Source organism: Homo sapiens, chromosome 7, assembly GCF_000001405.40.
Source record: "Homo sapiens chromosome 7, GRCh38.p14 Primary Assembly".
Lineage (NCBI taxonomy): Eukaryota > Metazoa > Chordata > Mammalia > Primates > Hominidae > Homo > Homo sapiens.
The window spans coordinates 23,356,339-23,376,633 of NC_000007.14; the positions used below are offsets into that span (position 1 = coordinate 23,356,339).

The 20,295-nt window shown below is 40.6% G+C and overlaps 1 protein-coding gene across 7 annotated transcripts in view, besides 1 other annotated feature; it reads right to left on the bottom strand.

The window, feature by feature from the left end:
• IGF2BP3 (insulin like growth factor 2 mRNA binding protein 3) overlaps positions 1-20,295 on the bottom strand; it is a 160,283-nt gene that overhangs the window by 46,130 nt on the left and 93,858 nt on the right. For 6 of the 7 annotated variants that reach the window (NM_006547.3, XM_011515089.3, XM_047419782.1 and 3 more), the window contains 2 exons: positions 5,352-5,403; positions 5,196-5,259 (listed from right to left, as the gene is read on the bottom strand). The exons of the other annotated variant lie outside the window; for it this stretch is intronic. In NM_006547.3, the coding sequence (NP_006538.2) occupies positions 5,196-5,259; positions 5,352-5,403 (116 nt within the window). The remainder of the gene's footprint in view (positions 1-5,195; positions 5,260-5,351; positions 5,404-20,295) is intronic. 7 annotated transcript variants of the gene reach the window in all.
• Positions 2,092-2,386: a silencer, noted in NCBI's record as "tiled region #10260; HepG2 Repressive DNase matched - State 5:Enh". NCBI's record gives its function as "represses a minimal TATA promoter and a strong SV40 promoter by Sharpr-MPRA in HepG2 cells {active_cell/tissue: HepG2}" and the evidence as "EXISTENCE:reporter gene assay evidence [ECO:0000049][PMID:27701403]".

A 20,295-nucleotide genomic window follows, 5' to 3' on the forward strand; every position in this document is an offset into this window, starting at 1 on the left:
CTTGAGCCCCGCAGTTTGAGATCAGCCTCGGCAACACAGTGAGACCCTGCCTCTACAAAAAAAAAAAAATTAGCTGGGTGTAGTGGCACATGCCTGTAGTCCCAGCTACTTGGGAGGCTGAGGTGGGAGGACTGGTTGAGCCCAGGAGGTTGAGGCTACATTAAGCCATGATTGTGCCACTGCACTCCCAAGTCTGCCTGGGCAACAGAATGAGAACCTGTCTCAAAAAATAATACTAAAATAAATAAAATTCCATGTCTAAAAATCTCTTCTTTTTTATTCCCAGATATCACCCTGTATATAATACAGGGTCCTCACAAAATGAGGTTTAACCCATTATTGAAAAGTCATAAATTCAATTATCTCCTTGTATCAAGAATAAGAGGTTGACAATTTGGCAATCATTATTGAAAGCCTGGGTAATATGATTTTAAGGATGTACCGTAATGCAATAAATATGGATGAAGCCCAAATGTAAGGCTTCATGACTAAATTGGTTCTAAAAACAAAACAAAACAAAACGGTATGGGCAAATACCCTAGATGACACACAACAGAAGACGGGATAGGAAACTGTGGTGAGGATCCAACACTATGCAGAGATTAGAATCAGTATAAATACACTGAATGAAAAACCCACAAAACTCTGCAGAATGATCTTTGTAATTCTGAAAGTTATAATGCATGGGACAAAGTCTACAAAACTCTATGGCAAATTTAACAGTGGTTATCCCTGAATGGCAAAAAATCCCTTTGTCTCACTGCTTTATTTCTTTTTCCAAAATAAATCTTTTATTTACATAATTGTTAAAGTTTAAATGGGAATTTTCTTACCTTTAGCCACTGGCCAAGTTGCTTCAAACACTTCTAAACATAACCATATTTACCTTATACAGATCTTCACAATGATACAAAGGAACTGCAATGATAGTTTCTTTCTTTTTTTTTTTTTTGAGACGGAGTTTTGCTCTTGTTGCCCAGGCTGGAGTGCAATGGCGCAATCTTGGCTCACTGCAACCTCCACCTCCCAGGTTCAAGCAATTCTCCTGCCTCAGAATGATTGAAGTTTCAAAGTATGAATAAACATTCCTATTCCCTAACAAAAATAAACATCAGGATAACCCCAAACAAAAGAAAGTATAAGAACTCAATGTCTACACATTTTCTAGGGGGTTATTTCTTTGTCACACATGACAAATCCTCTCATGAGTAATGTCTGTCCTTGACTGGCTTATCTCAACATCTCTGGAAGAGGGAAGGAAATAGGTGAGCCTCTCTCGCTCTGAGGAACAAGAAAAGGTGCATTCACTAAACACATACTTCCATTTTTAATGAAACTAATGAAATGAAATTTAAACTTGTCAAATTTTTATTTTAATAATTCAAGACTTAAGCCTAAAATGAACACATGTATTAATATTTTCTAAAATATGTGTACTATTAACCTTTGATTTATTTTAGCCACAAGGTGGCAGGAATTTCCACGTTAAGTTCTGTCTTAAAGATACAGCCGTATTTGAGGACTCTTCTTAAGTGACATTCATAGAGCTTTAACTAACAGAGGCAGCTACAACCACGTTAAAACTAGCTGCCTGGCTCCTCAGCATCAGTGACCAGCCATCACTGGAAATGAAGTATACCAAACAATAACAGGGGAGCAGAAGCAGCAATCAAACATGTTGGAAAAATACATAATAGCTGCTAACTTTTGAGCTCTACCTTACAGGTATTATGAAACATGTTTTGGAGGCATTATCTTAGTTTTTCTCAGTAGCCTCATTAGCTAAAGACTACAGTTATTCCCATTTTAGAAATGGGGCTGAACCATAACAGATTAACTTGACCAAAGTCAGCTAGAAAAGTGGTGGCACACAGTCTGTTCCATGCAACTGGGCTCTGGAATTGAACTCTTAACCTCCAAGCTCACTCATACTTTCACAAGTACATCAAGGTCACATAGCCTTCCAAACAACAGATGTTACAAAGAGAAAACTGAGAATTACCAGCATAGCCCTTTCACCTAAAGATTGAGCTTTGGGTGGCTACCGAGAAACATGGAGAAATGACACCAGGTTGGTTTAGGCAGCAGGCTGTCATGTTTGGAACCCATGGAGCAGGCCTATGGGGTTCATTGGAAGTCCAGGCTCAAGCCACTTCAAACTGCTCCAAGCAGCCCAGAACCAGTGGGTTAAACTATAAATACATGCATATATGCACAAATATTTGTTTCTCTTTAATCTTCACTTTGTAGCTGAGAAAACCAAAGCTCAGAAGTCAAGGTTACTAAGTCAGGGCTACCTGACTTTGGTGTTTACGCTTTCTCTGCTACACCCAATGCCTCTCAAATAAAATTAATTCTCCTCACAGAATGAAAACATATTCCATATCCCTTTTAAAAGCTTATTAGAAAACTGATAATTTTTTTACCACTGTAACACAAAACTGAGTTTTCCACTCCTTAGATTAACTTTTAAAAATACCTCATTGCTTTCTAATTTTCTCAATCTTTGAATTCTTGCAGAGGGAGTGAGAACAATACTCTTATAAGGCCGCTTGACAGGGAGGAACTAAAATTAGGTAGTCCCTCTCCAAATATTCTTATTGGCAACTTTTGGTCAGTATTTAGTATTTAATAAATGTTAACTGACTGAATATTAGAACAAAGGACATGAAGACTACTTCCCTAATCAAAATGCCTAATTTATTTAAGTTACCTAATTACTAAATTATACAATTCTTAACAGCCTTTTCCTTCCTCCTTGGGATCAACAGAAGCCTACCAATCTCTTAACAACTACGCTAAAGAATTTTGAGAACACCAGTGTGTCTACATTCAGTTTGCTGTCGTGGTTAGGATTCTTTTCAGCAATAATTCTGCCTTGACTAGCCAGTCTACCTTTCCTGTGCTTGCAGTCTTAATGCTTTGTTTTTTTGTTTTTAAAGGAGGAAGGCTAAAATGTCAATTACTTTATCCCTACCAAAGTTCATCTTATGCCTCTTCAAATCTACATAGCTTATGTCTCCAACTTATGTTCTCCCATTCAACTAATTAACTATTAAATAAGCATTTTGTTTCCCTTTAGCTAATTTAAGTTTTCAAATAAGGCCACAACAACAGGTCTCTGACAATCTCCAAATATCCTTGGGTTTATCACATCATCCTATATTTTCCAACAGGGACTTGGCTCTACCAAGTATTCAGTATAAATCTTTGTAAAGTAAAACATGGCCGGGTGCAGCGGCTCATGCCTGTAATCCCAGCATTTTGGGAGGCTGAGATGGGCAGATCGCTTGAGCCCACGAGTTCAAGACCAGCCTGGGCAACATGGTGAAACCCCATGTCTACAAAAAAAATACAAAAAAAAAGACTGCCAGTCTCATAACCCAGCCTCAAAATAAATAAAAATTAAAACAATATGGAGCCTCTGCTTTCTCCCTGCCCTCACTTTTATCCCCAGTTCTACTGAGGGTATAAAAGGTAAAATTTTCCTGGTCTTCTTACATGATACAACTAAAGAACAAAATTAGTCAAAAAAAGAAGAGAAAGAAAAATAAATTTGTTTTATGACTCATACCACAATTTCTATAATGTCCGAGACCTTATATAAATTGCCAAAAAATTTTACATGAACAAAGGATACCAACAGAAGAAATACAGAATGTGTTTAAACATATTAAAAGCCTCCAGTCTCACTTATGGGAGAAGTGAAAAACACAAGATATCACTTTCACATACTAGATTGGCAAAGTTTGATAAAGTCCTGTGTTAGGGAGAATTGGAGAAAGACTCCCCCACAATGCTGATGGAAATTTAAACTAGCTCCAGCTCTACAACACAATTTAAAGTGCAGTTCTACTTCTGGGAATTTATCATGTGGATACATGCTTACATACACACGACATGCAAAAACAGATTCACTACAATATTGTTCATAACTGCAAGAGACTGGAAACAACCTAAATATCCAAACTGCGATTAATCAAAGTCATGCCATATCTGTACAATCAAATACTATGTAACTATAAAAAATATATTTATATACACAAAACATTCAAATGTTATGGTATCATTTGTGTAAAAGGAGGAATACATACATGTAGCATTTGTTTTCCACATGGTTATCTCCCAAGAGATAAGGTAGTTAGGGAATAATACTGGGAGGAAGATTTGTACTATGTGCATCTTCAAATCTTTTATATTTTGAACCATGTGAGTGTTATTGATTTTACAAATAAAGTTCCATTTACCTTATACACATTTCCATCTTCTTCTCAGTCTTTTCTTTCATAGTCCCTCCTGAGTGAGTACTGCCTATAGTAACCTAGCTGAGCTCCTACTCTTGCAGCTCGTTTTACTTTTCCCCTTCAGGGCTCAGAGTCAGCCAGTGTGGTCTTTTCTTTCACCTTTCTGACACAGAGGACAGTCAGCCTGCTCCTGCCAGTATGGTATCTGGAGGTAGGTAGTTCAGGCTTCCATAGTTAGCTAACACCCAGTGCTGTGCTACTGAGCACTTTGTATGCCATTCTTTCATGTTCATATTCTGGGCAGATCTGTTAAAGGCCATATTTGTGGGACCCCCATTTCTCTCTCTAGTGCTCAGTTTATTAGATCTTTTCCAGCCTATAGAATTATCTTTTCCTAGGGGAGACTGTTTGATCTGTCAAGTATTGCCTGTTTACTGCACTGGAATATATTTTTTTCCATAAATCTAAGAGCAAATTACATTAATCCAATGTCTGCACGCTCCTAAATGACAATGGTAATCAGGTAACCAGTGAGTAAGAAGACTTATCATTTAACACTGTTGTTTAACACATGATCCAACTTACCAGCTTCAGATAAAATAGCCATAATATATGTGTCATACAAGAGGGGGAGACGGGGAGAGACTTTATGTTATTTGGCAACAATACCAAGGCCCAGAGCTTCTGCAAATAGGGTGTGATTCAGTTTCATACTAGACCACTCTATTATTGGCATTAAAGATATATTGAAAATGTAATACAACTTTAACCAATGTAGATTTTTACTAGACATTCAAACTTAAAAAGAAAGGCACGATTACAGGGTCAAATTTTGTAAAATAAAGTTTCTCTCTGCCACCTACCAGCCCTTCTCAGTTGAGAAATCCGCAAAATATGTTACTGTACTTAACTTAGTTATTATATATAGATTAAAAGCTTCAAGCTGCTTACTGTCTAGCTTGGTCCTTACTGGAATAGGTTACATTTACAACTGCAGTTTCCGAGTCAGTGTTCACTAGAGGAAGAGAAAAACGAAGAGAATAAAAGTTAGTTTTCTTTCTACTTCCTTCCTTTTACAAATTTGAAAGCAATTCAGAAGACATGTACCTTGCTCACAGCTCTCCACCACTCCATACTGGACTAGTAAACTATCCAGCACCTATCAGGAGGGGGAGAGAAAATTATAAATTTTGAGTTTCCCAAGTTATTATCAAGGGCAGGAATATGTCTTAAAATCACTAAGTAATTGTGATGGAAAAGAGCCAAAAAATTATCTGGGGCTTTGGACTGCAGAACTAAGGGATGGATACCACAAATATCACACTCAGACTTGTCTCTTCTGCCCTCTCCTAGATCCCTGACATTAATCTCATTTCCTATGGCTAACCAAGAACTGGCTCAGAAAAGTATGCAAAGCCACAGCCGCCTGGTTCCTGAGGCTGAAGGAGAAAGAGCATATATTTCTCATACATACACAAACACATCATCATACTTTCTCCTTGTAAACAAAGTCACTAGACAAGGAACCAAGTTACAAACTAAAGTTTAACAGGGCGCGGTGGCTCGCACCTGTAATCCTAGTACTTTGGGAGGCCAAGATGGGAGCATAGCTTGAGGCCAGGAGTTCGAGACCAGCCTGGTCAACATAGTGAGACCCCCCATCTCTAAAAAATAAAGTAAAATAAAAAGAGAAAAAAAAAACTAAAGTTTTATCTATAAGATGTTCTTTTCCAAAGGACTTCTTTTACAGCTCGAATGGTTCTTACAAAACAGATTGCTCAAGGCAGGCTAGAAAAATGAAGACAGCACAGTGCATACTCTACCTGGAGTGGAATTTAAAGCCCAACATAAATACATAGACAGCAAAAGTGTGAAATGAAGCAAACATTTCTAAGTCTACACGGGGTTGGGAAATGTACAATTTGAAGCTGTCTATGTTTTTACCATCTTTCCTGTAGCTGTATTATTATACTATGCATGTTATCCAAATGGAGAGGCTGTTAGAACAGTAACTGTAAGTTTATTATAATATCAACTGCAGATGTACGTCTCATCAATATAAACCAAATTCAGGTGTCCTTAGCTTCTAAGAGCTATAGCAAAACAAAGTAAGTTTCTGTAAATTATAGCAAATTACTTACTCATCAGTTTAACTACAAATTTTCTTATTTATTTATTTATTTATTTATGAGACAGGGTCTTGCTATGTCACCCAGGCTGGAGTGCAGTGGCATGATCACAGCTCACTGCAGCCTCAACCTTCTGAGTTTAAGTGATCTTCTCACCTCAGCCATCCAAGCAGCTGGCACTACAGGTGCACGCCGCCACCCTCAGCTAATTTTTAAAATTTTTTGTAGAGATGAGGTCTTACTACGTTGCCCAGGCTGGTCTCAAACTCCTGAGCTCAAGGGATCCTCCTGCCCTGGCCTCCCAAAGTGCCAGGATTACAGACGTGAGCCACTTAGCCCTAGCCTAACTGCAAAGTTAAAAGGGCGGTTCCTTGAAAATGTTTTTCAGGTGCCAGGAAATAGAAAACAAATTTTATGGTAATTTACTACTAAACTTAAGCAATTTCTTCTAAAGGAAGGTTTATCTTATGTGGTATATTTTAGGCTTTTGTCTACTGTTTCCAGTTTGAAACATATAACAAGGTTTGTCTGGGGTGAGCTTCTGTTTTTAGTTTTGGGACAGGGTCTCACTGTCACCTATGCTGGAGTGCAGTGGCACGACCATAGATCACTGTAGCCTCAACCACTGGGCTCAAGCAACCCTCCCACCCCAGCTTTCTGAGTAGCTGGCACTACAGGTGCATGCCACCACACCTGGCTAATTTTTAAGTTTTTCGTAGAGATGAGGGTCTCGGTATGTTGCCCAGGCTGGTCTCAAACTCCCAGATTCAAGGGATCATCCCAGCTGGGCCTCCCCAAGTGCTGAGATTACAGGCGTGACCCAGCACCTGGCCTGGTTTTTCTTTTAAATAAGGTTAATACCTATTTATGAGTGAAATGCCCTTTATTTTTATTTGGTAAATTTCCTTTGCATGAGGTAAATTTAATTTTTATTTGGTAAATTTCTTTTGCATGAGGTATACACACAGAAGCACATTAATCTTTGTCTCTGATTATAGCTATTCTTAAATCACAAAAAGACATTCAAATATTTCATGAGTGAAGTGAATACTTCATAGGAGGAAATCCTGGTATATCTTATAGGAAGAGTACTCTGTAAAAGTGCTTGTCTGTTTTATAGGTGAATTTGCCATGTGATGTTGATCACAGACACATTTTATAAACGCCAAAAATTAAGAAACCTCTCACGTTGCCATTCAAAGATAAAATATACAACACATAATTCCTTAAATTAAAAACAAGGGTGGCCGGGCACAGTGGCTCATGCCTGTAATCCCAGCACTTTGGGAAGCCATGGCGGGTGTATCACCTGAGGTCAGGAGTTCGAGACCAGCCTGGCCAACATGGCAAAACCTTGTCTCTATTAAAAATACAAAAATATTCGCAGGGCGCGGTGGCTCACGCCTGTAATCCCAGCACTTTGGGAGGCCGAGGCAGGTGGATCACGAGGTGAGGAGATCGAGAGCAGCCTCATCAACATGGTGAAGCCCCGTCTCTACTAAAAATAGAAAAATTAGTTGGGCACGGTGGTGCGCGCTTGTAGTCCCAGCTACTCAGGAGGCTGAGGCAGGAGAACTGCTTGAACCCAGGAGGCGGAGGTTGCAGTGGGCTGAGATCGTGCCACTGCAGTCTAGCCTGGGCAACAGAGCAAGACTCCATCTAAAAAAAAAAAGAAAAAACAACAAAATTAGCTGGGAGTGGTGGCGGGTGCCTGTAATACCAGCTACTTGGGAGGCCGAGGCAAGAGAATTACTTGAACCTGGGAGGTGGAGATTGCAGTGAGCTGAGAGCACGCCACTGCATTCCAGCCTGGGAAACAGAGCGAGACTTTGTGTCAAAAAAAAAAAAAAAAAAAAAAAAGCGGGAGGTTGGGGGGTGGGGGGTGGCGGTGCAGTGGGCAACCTACTTATTTTCTAAACAAAAATGAAATTTTTTCAATACGAAAAATGTTTTACTTCATACTTAAGTCAGAATTCTAACAAATTCATTCCACCTTCAGTAATGAAGTCAGGAGGAAAAGTATGTCTACCATTAAAATTTAGCTTTTAAATGAAAGCCACACTAATAATAATAGAGCTTTACAGCAACTTGGATGGAGGTGGGGGTAGCGGAGGGGTTCAGGGACTAGGAGGTAGTTGACAGTTTAATATGTTATTTAAAATATAGCTTTTAGGACCAGACACGGTGGCTCACTCCTGTAATCCAGCACTTTGGGAGGCCGAGGCAGGTGGATCACTAGAGGTCAGGAGTTTGAGACCAGCCTGGCCAACATGGTGAAACCCCATACCTACTAAACATACAAACATTAGCCTGCAGTGGTGGCGCATGCCTGTAATCCCAGCTACCCAGGAGGCTGAGGCAGGAGAATTGCTTGAACCTGGGAGGTGGAGGTGGCAGTGAGCAGAGATTGCACCACTGCACTCCAGCCTGGGCAAAAGAGCAAGATTCTGTCTCAAAATAAAATTTAGTTTTTAAATGAAAGCCACACTGATAGTAGAGCTTTATAGCAACTTGGATGGAGGCAGGGGTAGAGGAGGGGTTCAGGGAGTAGGAAGTAATTGCCAATTTAATAAGTTTAATTAAATAAACATCCTTCTTAATTCTTCTGAAAAGCAATTTGTTCAGTAATTAAGTATATTAGTCTCCACACAGATTACCTTATGCCACCTTAACTTTTATTACTCTTAGAGATAACACTACAAAAGTTAAACACCTGTGATCTATAAACAATACCGACTAAACCTACAATAATGTCAAGGCAACAAATGTTCTTCAAAAGCTACAGTGCCAAAGTGATAAATATTTATATACACACACATACAAATGATACAGGTAAATTTTTTAACTTAAAAAAAATCGGGGGACAATCCTTTCATGCTCTTCCTTTCCAAGTTAGGCCTGGTAGAATGGCTTCTACGAAGAAGGGTTGTGACAAGAAGGGCCGCTCTGCCACCAACAAGGTGATGACCTGAGAATGCATCATCATTTACAAGGGTATCCATGGAGTGGGCTTCAAGAAGACTGCCCCTGGGCATTCAAAGAGATCTGGAAATTTGTTATGAAGGAGATGTGTTCACTGACATGAGGCTCAACAAAGTTGTCTGGGCCAAAGGAATAAGGAACGTCCTATACCACAATCTGTGAACAGCTGTCCAGGAAATGTAATGAAAATGAAGATTCACCAAACGAGCTCCATATTTTGATTACCTATGTACCTGTTACCACTTTCAAAAATCTATAGTCAGTCAATGAGGATGAGAACTAGCCACCGATCATCAAATATGTTAAAGTTATAAAACCACACACACACACAAGTAGAAATATACATTAAAATTTTCACTGCATATATTCAAAACAAAATTGCCTGTATAGTTAAATATTCTATTCCTAAGAATAGATAAATGCTATTGGTTGTCAACTTCCGTGTAAATCTTTTTTTTTTTTTAGACAGAGTCTCACTCTATCACCCAGGCTGGAGTACAATGGTGCAATCTTGGCTCACTGCAACGTCTGCCTCCCAGGTTCAAGCGATTCTCCTGCCTCAGCCTCCCAAGTAGCTGGGATTACAGGCACACACCACTACACCCAGCTAATTTTCGTATTTTTAGTAGAGACGGGGTTTCACCATGTTGCCCAGGCTGGTCTCGAACTCCTGACCTCAAGTGATCCACCCACCTTGGTCTCCCATAGTGATGGGATTACAGGTGTGAGCCACCACACCTGGCCATGTAAAGTCTTTAGAAAGATAACTAGAAACTACAATCCTGTGCACTTTTTTTAAATGGTGAGTTTTATTGTCTGTGAATAATACTTCAACAAGCATGGCTTTAAAACAAAGTAAAAAAGAAAAAAAAAAAAAAACCACAAGCAAAAAAACCCCTCTAATCCTTAGAAGAAATAGGTGCAGAATCAATCTTGGTACCTAGCTGTGGAAAAAATTTAACAACACAACTTAGGAGATTTTACATAGCCCCATAGATGGATTTCAGTGGATCTTTGATGTCTTACTCAAAGTTTCATGTACAAGGCTTGGAAGTAATGACAACAGAATAGGGAAAGGGCTGTCAATAGCCTAATAAGATTCCCAAATCTCAAAAGGATTTCCAACCCCCAAATGACTTGAACTGTACTATAGTAATCCCATCAATCTTAAGGCAGGCCATTATTTGAATATGCTCTTTTATATCAAGGCCTATCAAATGGTATCATGCCACTCCAGCCCACTGAACTCTCAAAGAATAAATACAACTTACACTTGGTAAGTTCTCACATTTTGCTTTTTTTTTTTTTTTTTTTTTAAAGACAGAGTCTTACTGGAGTGCAGTGACATGATCTTGGCTCACTGCAACCTCCGCCTCCCAGGCTCAAGCCATTCTTGTGCCTCAGCTTCCTGAGTAGCTGGGATTACATGCATGTGCCACCACGCCTGGCTACTTTTTGTATTATAGTAGAGACAAAGTTTTGCCATGTTGGCCAGGCTAGTCCCGAATTCCTGAGCTCAAGTGATCTGCCTGCCTCAGCCTTCCCAAATGCTGGGATTATAAGTGTGAGCCACAGTGTCCGGCCGCATTTTGCTTAATTCTGCATTAAACAGGAAGATAAGACAGTGTTCCTGTTACCTGTCACATAAGCTACTTATGCACCTGTTTTTGTCTCCTAGATTCTTGTCCCCTCTCAGTACTGCTAATCATTCTATGTCAGCCACAAATACTTCTTTTAAACAGTCTTAAAGGCCAAAAAAAAAACCACGAAAAAAAACAAAAAGCTTTCCACTCTATATTTCCAACACTTTCACAAGTTCCCATACCTAAATAAAATCTTAAACCAGAAAGGAAACATTTCTCTATGCTTAGGTAAGTTTAAATTCCAACGACAGGGGAGGGAGGAAGGGGTATAAATGCAAAGTAAAGCCTCATAGAAAATGTCTTTCTAGAATTCCCCCGTTATGTATTTAGGACGTGAAACCCTCAAATGTTCAGCCTTTTTAAAAAAAAAAAGTTCATCCACGGCTGGGCGCGGTGGCTCACGCCTGTAATCCCAGCACTTTGGGTGGCCGAGGTGGGTGGATCACTTGAGGTCAGGAGTTTGAGACCAGCCGGGCCAACATGGTGAAACCCCATCTCTACTAAATATACAAAAATTAGCTGGACATGGTGGCACGCACCTGTAGTCCCAGCTACTCGGGAGGCTGAGGCAGAAGAATCCTTGAACCCGGGAGGCAGAGGTTGCAGTGAGCTGAGATTGCACCACTGCACTCCAGCCTGGGCAACAGATAGAGACTCCATCTATTTAAAAACAAAAAAAAACAAAAAAACAAAGTTCATTCAAATGTATAAACAGTACAGAAAGAATCACATGAAAAATGCAAAGATTATCACTTCCTGAATGTAATGGTACAAAATTAAGATCACTCATAATAGTCTGAAGTAGAAACAACCCGAATGAATGCTTACTGACTGATGAATGGAAACAAAATGTGGTATATTTGTACAATGGAATATTATTCAACCATAAAAGGGAGGTACTTATACATGCTGCAACAGACAGACCTTGAAAGTATTATGGTTACCTTGTTAGTATAGCGAAGACAGAAAGAGAGAAAGAGAGAGAGAAAGAAAAGAAAGAAAGAAAAAAAGAAAGAAAGAAAGAAAGAAAGAAAGAAAGAAAGAAAGAAAAGAAGGCATTATGCTAAATGAAAACAGTCACAAAAAACTACTTATTATATGATTTTTGTTTGTATGAAATGTCCAGAATAGGGAACTCTACGATAGACAGAAAGTAGATTAGTGGTTTCTATGGGCTGAGGAAAGTGAAAGTGGAGGGTGACAGTTAAATGTTTCTTTTTGAGGTGATGAAGGTGTCCTAAAAATGTGGTGATGGTTGCACGTATCTATTAACATACTAGGCCGGGCGCGGTGGCTCACACCTGTAATCCCAGCACTTTGGAAGGCCAAAGCGGGCGGATCACCTGAGGTCAGGAGTTTGAGACCAGCCTGACCAACATGGAGAAACCTCGCACCTACTAAAAATACAAAATTAGCCGGGCGTGGTCGCGCTTGCCTGTAATCCCAGCTACTCGGGACGCTGAGGCAGGAGAATCACTTGAACCCAGGAGGCAGAGGTTGTGGTGAGCTGAGATGGCGCCATTGCACTCCAGCCTGGGCCACGAGAGCAAAACTTTGTCTCAAAAAAAAAAGAAAAAAAAACTTAAAAAAAAATAATTGTACACTTTAAATGGTGAATTGCATAGTATGTGAATTATATCTCAATAAAGCTGTTAAAAAAATACTAAAAGCAACTTTACCAGGTAATGGCCTAGTTTTGCCTTTTAAACTCTGAAGTATTATTGATCACTTCTTGGCCTTTTGGCCAAGCATCATCCACAGAACCGGCCTAGTCTGGTTCAGCTTTGTGTGACAAAATGGTGATTTGTTCTTCAGTTGCCATGGATCCCCAGGTTGCAAGTTCTGTAACCTGAGCCTGTCCAGATGAACCACGCATGCAACCACAAGCAGAACCTAAGTGCCTGGACCGAGACAGGACCAAATTAAGAAGTGGACACCACATGACATGATCCATGATCCAATCAGATTGAGCCCTGGTGTCACCTCCTGGTATGATCCAGTCAGATCACACCTCCTGGCATCACATCATTGTAAGATTCAATCAGATCATACCTCATTACCCTCTGTCTATAAAATATGTCCCAGCCCCCAGCTGGGGGAGACAGATTTGAACCTGACTGTCTCCTTGCTTGACAGTCTTACCACGAACTTTTCTCTTTACAAAAGAACCTATGCTTTGGTGTTTGCTTTCCATTGCACATGGACAAACAGAACCAGTTTGGTTCAGTAACAGTATCATTGAAATACAGAATAAACTGCAAGAAATTTGATTCACTTTGACATTATGTATACACTCACTAAACTATCACCATCATGACAAGTTTCTTCATGCTTCTCTTCAATCTAGTAGCCTAGTTTATTGACACATATAGAGATCACTGCAATAAAGACAGTTTAAAAAACTGTCTTTGACCTGCAACGTGATCAGATTTTCTCAGCCACATACCAGATATATCCCCACCTCCCTCACAAAACTGGCTGTATTTTAGTTGATACCACTATGGGCGTGAGGTAGATAATTTATGTTCTGCAGATAAGCCTTCTGCTGACTGCTTATTCTGCATACCCACTGCTCAAGTCCCATCACTCCTGGGCTATCTGAACCAAGTCTGATTAGCATGCTTGCCTGTAGCCTAACACTCCATGACTATATCCTCCTGCCAGCAGTTACTACCCTTCTGTGGTTTCAAATTGCCAGTATAACTTGTCCAAACTTCAACATGGCATAAGAGGTTGTCAGTTACCTGGTACTACTTCTCTCTTCCATATATCCAACATACTTCCCACACCTATGCTCTAGTCACGCCCTCAAAACTGGGTAAAGTACCTCTCTCGTCATCTCCCTAATACCCATTCTTGGAAATGAAAGCAATGTCACTTTATAATCTCTTTCCTGATCTTTATTTTCCCACTAGACTAGTGATTATTAACCATAGTGATGTGATTGTCAGGTGTGTCACAGTAATCTAGTTTTCAGAGTCACACTGACTTCCATGCTTAAGCTGGCAGGTAATTTATCATACATACGATCTTAGATTCCAAATCTTTTTTATTTGACTGTTACATTTGCCTTATGTGTTTCAGAAGATGGAACAACAATGTCGGGCATTATAGTCTGTGTACCAATATATATCCTGAAAATCTCTCTGGAAATGGGTTACTCCTTCAATGTGGCTCTAACACAGAGCTGCACTATCCCATAAACCTCATAAGGGAAGGGGCCATGTCTTACCTTTGAACTCACTGCTCAGGATCTGTGATGAACAATAAAAGGTTAAAAAGGAGTCACACTATTTTTTTGTTCTACAGGGCAAAGGAAGCTAGTTCTAGGTTTTTTGGTTTTTTTGTTTTTTTTTTTTAAGACAGAGTCTTGCTCTGTCACCCAGGCTGGTGTGCAGCAGTGTGATCTCAGCTCACTGCAACCTCCACTTCCTGGGCTCAAGCCATTCTACCACCTCAGCCTCCCGAGAAGCTGGGATTACAGGCGTGTGCCACCACGCCCAGCTAATTTTTTGTATTTTTAGTAGAGACAGAGTTTTGCCATGTTGGCCAGGCTGGTCTCGAACTCCTGACCTCAAGTGATGTGCCCACCTCGGCCTCCCAAAATGCTGGGATTACAGGCGTGAGTCACTGCGCCCAGCCAGTTCTAGGTGTCTTTAAAAGTCCATAATAATATAAGCAAACAGGTATTTGTCAGGAATTTATACAAAAGATATAGAAGTGGAACAAGCATTACAAAAATCACAGTGAGATTAAAGTATTAATAAAATGCAAAGCGGGATATTTAATGCTTACTTGCCCCAACAAACACCTTGCCAACACACACACACACACACACACACCCTTCCAAGCACCAAAGCCAATGTCAGTCATTGGGGAGGGGTTTCTAGAAAGGAGTCACCTTGACTACTACTCATTGCAACAAGAGAGGCAAAAAGTCTCCACAGAATCACCCTTAGCGCTAGGGATATGGAGATGAAGGGAACATCCTTCAAACAGCTCAGCACAGTTTATACAAACAGGAACTACTTATCTGTCATGGGCAAGATCATCTCAGGAACTGTTCTTTTACATCTATTTGTGAGAAATGGCTATATTACAAAATGAAGAACAATCTGTATTGCAGGTTCCAAATAATCATTTCCAGTTAAATATTGATATATAATTCTAAAACAAAATAAAGAAATATCCACCTTAATGTATATTTCTCTAAAATGTTAGCACCGTAATTACTTGGATAACACTCAAACCATTCCTCACACTGGTGTGAAAATGACTGTCAAGTTAAGAAAGCCAGCACCACAGACCAGACCATTAATAAGATTGTAAACCATGCTGCATATCCCCTTTATCATCGAAAAGCCCCAGAGGGAAGCTCAGCCTCCATCATACCACACGGAGCAAAGCGTCCCAACTTTCTAGCCACTTTCAATGTTCACAAGTTAGATCCTCTAACATGGGGAGGAGATGATGCTTTAGGACTCCTAGGAGTCATGTGATCAGAGCCTCTGAGAGAGAACAGTCCAAGTTATCCGGCCACACTGGACTCTCTGAGAGAGAACAGTCCAACAATCCAGCCACACTGAAGTCACAGTGGAAAAACCGAATCCAGAGCTTAAGGGGCTTACGTTATGTTTCTCTTTGGCAATGCTGAGCTAGACTGATTTTTATTTTTAATTTATTTTTTATTTCAATAGGTTTTTGGAGAATAGGTGGTATTTGGTTACATGAATAAGTTTTTTTTTTTTCTTTTTTGAGATGGAGTCTCACTCTGTCACCCAGGCTGGAGTGCAGTGGCACGATCTTGGCTCACCGCAACCTCCGCCACCCGGGGTTCAAGCGATTCTTCTGCCTCAGCCTCCCAAGTAGCTGGGACTACAGGCACGTGCCTCCACCCCCGGCTGATTTTTGTATTTTTAGTAGAGATGGGGTTTCACTATGTTGGCCAGGCTGGCCTCAAACTCCTGACCTCGTGATCTGCCCCCCCTGGCCTCCCAAAGTGCTGGGATTACAGGTGTGAGCCACTGTGTCTGGCTTACGTGAATAAGTTCTTTAGTGGTGATTTCTGAGATTTTGGTGCACCCATCACCCAGGTAGTGTATACTGTACCCAACATGTACTCTTTTATACCTCACCCTCCTCCCACCCTTTCCGCCGAGTACCCAAAGTCCATTGTATCATTCTTATGCCTTCACATCCTCATAACTTAACTCCCACTTATGAGTGAGAGCATACGACGTTTGGTTTTTCCATTCCTGAGTTACTTCACTTAGAATAATACGGAACTAGACTGATTTTAAAAGCCGAGCAGAACAAGTCACACCCTACTATAAACTCTAAGAGATCCCTAACAAGTGCCCTGAAGGCCGTGTTCCACTCATCCTTTAAGGCCATTCTCTTCTCTCCAACCACACCAGCCTTCGTTCAGTCATGAATCAGGGCTGCTAACATTTGAGTGCTTTCTGGCAGCAGCATTGTCCCAAATGCTTTATCTACTTTAACTCAAATCCACACAATCCCATGAGGCAACATTATTCCATGTTATAGATGGGCAAGCTGCAGCACAGAAAAGTTCACAGTGTCAGAACTTGGACAGATAAATGCTGGAGAAATGATTCAAACTCCAGCTCACAGATTCCAGAGCCCATACTCTTAATCACTTGGTCTAATAAGTTGCCTCATTTCCCTATGCAATTTAAATAAAATATAAATACACCGACGGAAACCAGTTCAATCCTTACTCGGCCATTACCTGCACTAGAAAATCAAATCTGTCCATAGGCAGGTTAAGAGCTTTATTAACTCCCATGTATCCCCTTGCTCATGTTCCAAGTACTAAATACGATACTTCTATACATCTTAGTCAGAAGAAGGTACTAGCCAGCATTAACTTGTGCTACATTTTACTCACAGAAATGCTCATAAAAACATTCAAAATAGTTCAATGTTAGGTGGTTTTTGAACCACCTGCTTTCAAAACAGGGACTTCCCCCAACCCCTAGAAGAAACCACTGTCGCTTTGGTGGGGTCTCTCCAGGTGTTTTTAGAAGTGTGTGTGTCACACGAAAAGACGCTCTGCACCATTAGTCATTAGGGAAATGTAAATCAAAACCACAAGGAGATACCACTTCACCTCCATTAGAATGGCCATAATTTTTTAAAAAGAAGGAAAATATGATTCAAGGGGCATCATAAAAAGAAAAACAAAGGAAAATAATGAGTGTTGACACAGATGTGGAAAAATCAAAACCCTCATACATTGCTGGATAAAATGGTGCAGCTGCTATGAAAAACAGTACAGCAGTTCCTCAAAAAAAATTAAAAATAGACCTACCATATGATCCAGCAATTCCACTTCTGGGTATTGATATGGTTTGAACATTGTGTCTTCTTCGAATCTCATGCTGAAATGCGATCCCCAGTGTTGGGGATGGGGCCAGGTGGGAGGTGTTAGGGTCATGGGGGCAGACCCTTCATAAATGGCTTGGTGCCATCCTTGAGGTAACAAGTGATTTATTGCTCTGTGAGCTCACATGAGATCTGGTTGTTTTAAAAGAGGCTGGAACTTCCTTTTCTCTCTTGCTCCCTCTCATGCCATGTGACATGCCCACTCCCCTCTACCTTTCACCATGAGTAAATGCTTTCTGGGCCTTGCCAGAAGCTGAGCAGATGCTGGAGCCATGCTGGTATAGCCTGAGGAACTGTGAGCCAAATAAACCTATTTTCTTTACAAGGTACCCAGCCTCAGGTATTCCTTTACAGCAACACAAATGCACTAACCGAGTATACGTCCAAAAGAACTGAACACAGGGACTCAAAGAAGTACTTCTACACCCATGTTCATGGGAGCATTATTCAAAATAGCCAATAATTGAAAGGTGAAAGCAACCCAAGCATCCTCTGACTAATGAATGGATAAAACAAAACATGGTACATATAAACAGTCATCCCTCGGTATCTGTGAGGGATTGGTTTCAGCAACCCCCTACCTTGGATACCAAAATTCACAGATGCTCAAGTCCCTTATATAAAAATAGTATAGTAGAGGCTGGGCATGGTGGCTCAAATCCATAATCCCAGCTCTTTGGGAGGCCAAGTTATCACTTGAAGCAAGGGATCAATTGAGGCCAAGAGTTTGAGACCAGCCTGGGCAACATAGGAAAGACCCCATCTCTACAAAAATAAAAATAATTAGCCAGATGTGGTGGTGAGTGCCTGTACTCCCAGCTACTCGGGAGGCTGGGGTGGTAGGACTGCTTGAACCCAGAGTTAGGAGGATGCAGTGAGCTATGATGACGCCACTGCACTCCACCCTGGGTGACAGAGTGAGACTCTGTCTCCAATAGTGACGATGATGATGATGATAAATAAGTAAAAGTATAAAAAGAAAATGATTTGATATCGGGGGAAATTCACCCCCGATATTTCACATAGGTTCTTTTCTATATTCCCTAAGTGTCGGCCGGTCTGAGAAATAAAGGGACAGAGTACAAAAGAGAGAAATTTTAAAGCTAGGTGTCTGGGGGAGACATCACATGTCGGCAGGTTCCGTGATAAATGTCCATGAAATCTTCACAGTTTATGTTCTTCTGCCAAGGCTTCAGCCGGTCCCCCCGTTCAGGGTCCCTGACTTCCCGCAACAATTTTATATTATGTGAATTTCTCAATTTTTAAAAAGGTATGTGTATATGCTCATATATTCACATATATACCCAAAGAGCAATATTTGTTGAGTTTTAAATTTTCACACTAGAGTGTCAAATACTGTTTTAAACATTTTATATAATCCATCTTATTTATGCCTCAGAATGTAGCAATTATCCCCATTTCATATATGAATAAACTGAGGTCGATTTTAAGTAACTTGCTTAAGTATGACATTCCTTATCTTGCTACCCTCCCCCACCACCCCAATCTGTCATCTTGGTGATCCATCCGTGTTGGTAAATGCAAACCTTTGGAACTGCCACATGGAATTCAATAGGTGGGAGTCCCAGCTATTGATCTGCTATCTTTCTTTCATTCCACCCCCTTCAGGCATAGGGTCCCCCAACATGCCACACAGTCTGGGGGAGTCAAGCAAAGAACTAGGACAGCACTGACTGCCCAGGCCCCCTTCTAGGCTTTTCGCCGCTAAAACAAAATGCAAAGGCTAGAGAATCCTAGAAGCAAACACCAGTTTTAGTAACTAGCTTACTCCTTTAGCAGAAAGGCAGGAATACCACTCCAAACAGCTATAAATTACTAGAGAAAAAGGGAAAGACAGCAGTTCAGAACAAAGCCTGATTACAACTCCAAACATAATTCTGGTAAAATCACAGAATAAGAAGTGAATTTTCTAAATGAGGTGATAAATGTCCACGATTGTATGGTCTCCAAAAGCAGTAGCAGACCATCCCAGATGCTGGCATTTTACCCACTACCCCTATTTAAAGCTTAGTTTAAAAGTAAGAATAAAAGCAACTGGAGGAGGAGAAGAGGTAGATTCCAAAGTCAATAATGATAGGAATGTTTCCTACAAGAATTAGTCCTTCAGGTGTGCAGCAGTTATCCTTCTGGCTCTATGGGGCCTTATAATAAAATTCCTAAACTAGTTCAATAAAGGGAAAAAAGAAAACTCAATCTCTCACTACCGACTTATGCTATAGAATTGAATTTAGCATGAGCAGTTCTCAACATCCCATCAATAGGTGCAGTTAAGAATACCACACTACATGAAAACACATGATTTGGTAAAACTGACTTTAAAATACACAAATAATTTTGGGAAAACACAGCAGCTCCACTTGCAAAAGGGCAAAGGAATCACAGCTAACAGATGCTAACATCAACATACAGCACTAACAAGGGATCACTGGAAGAAGTCTTAAACTCTGCTGGGAGGAGTGTTACTTGAGATATTTCTCAAAATAAATTTAGCAATTAAAAAAAGCCTTGAGGCCAGGCGCGGTGGCTCACGCCTGTAATCCCAGCACTTTGAGAGGCCAAGGCAGGCGGATCACCTGAGGTCCGGAGTTTGGAGACCCTATCTCTACTAAAAATACAAAAATTAGCCGGGCATGGTGGCGGGCACCTGTAATCCCAGCTACTCGGGTGGCTGAGGCAGGAGAATGGCTTGAACCGGGAAAGCAAAACTTGCAGTGAGCCAAGATCACACCACTGCACTTTAGCCTGGGCAACAGAGTAAGGCTCCATCTCCCAAAGAAAAAAAAAAAAAAAAAAGAAAGAAAGAAAGAAAAAGCCTTGAGGCTGGGCACGGTGGCTCACACCTATAATCCCAACACTTTGGGAGGCCCG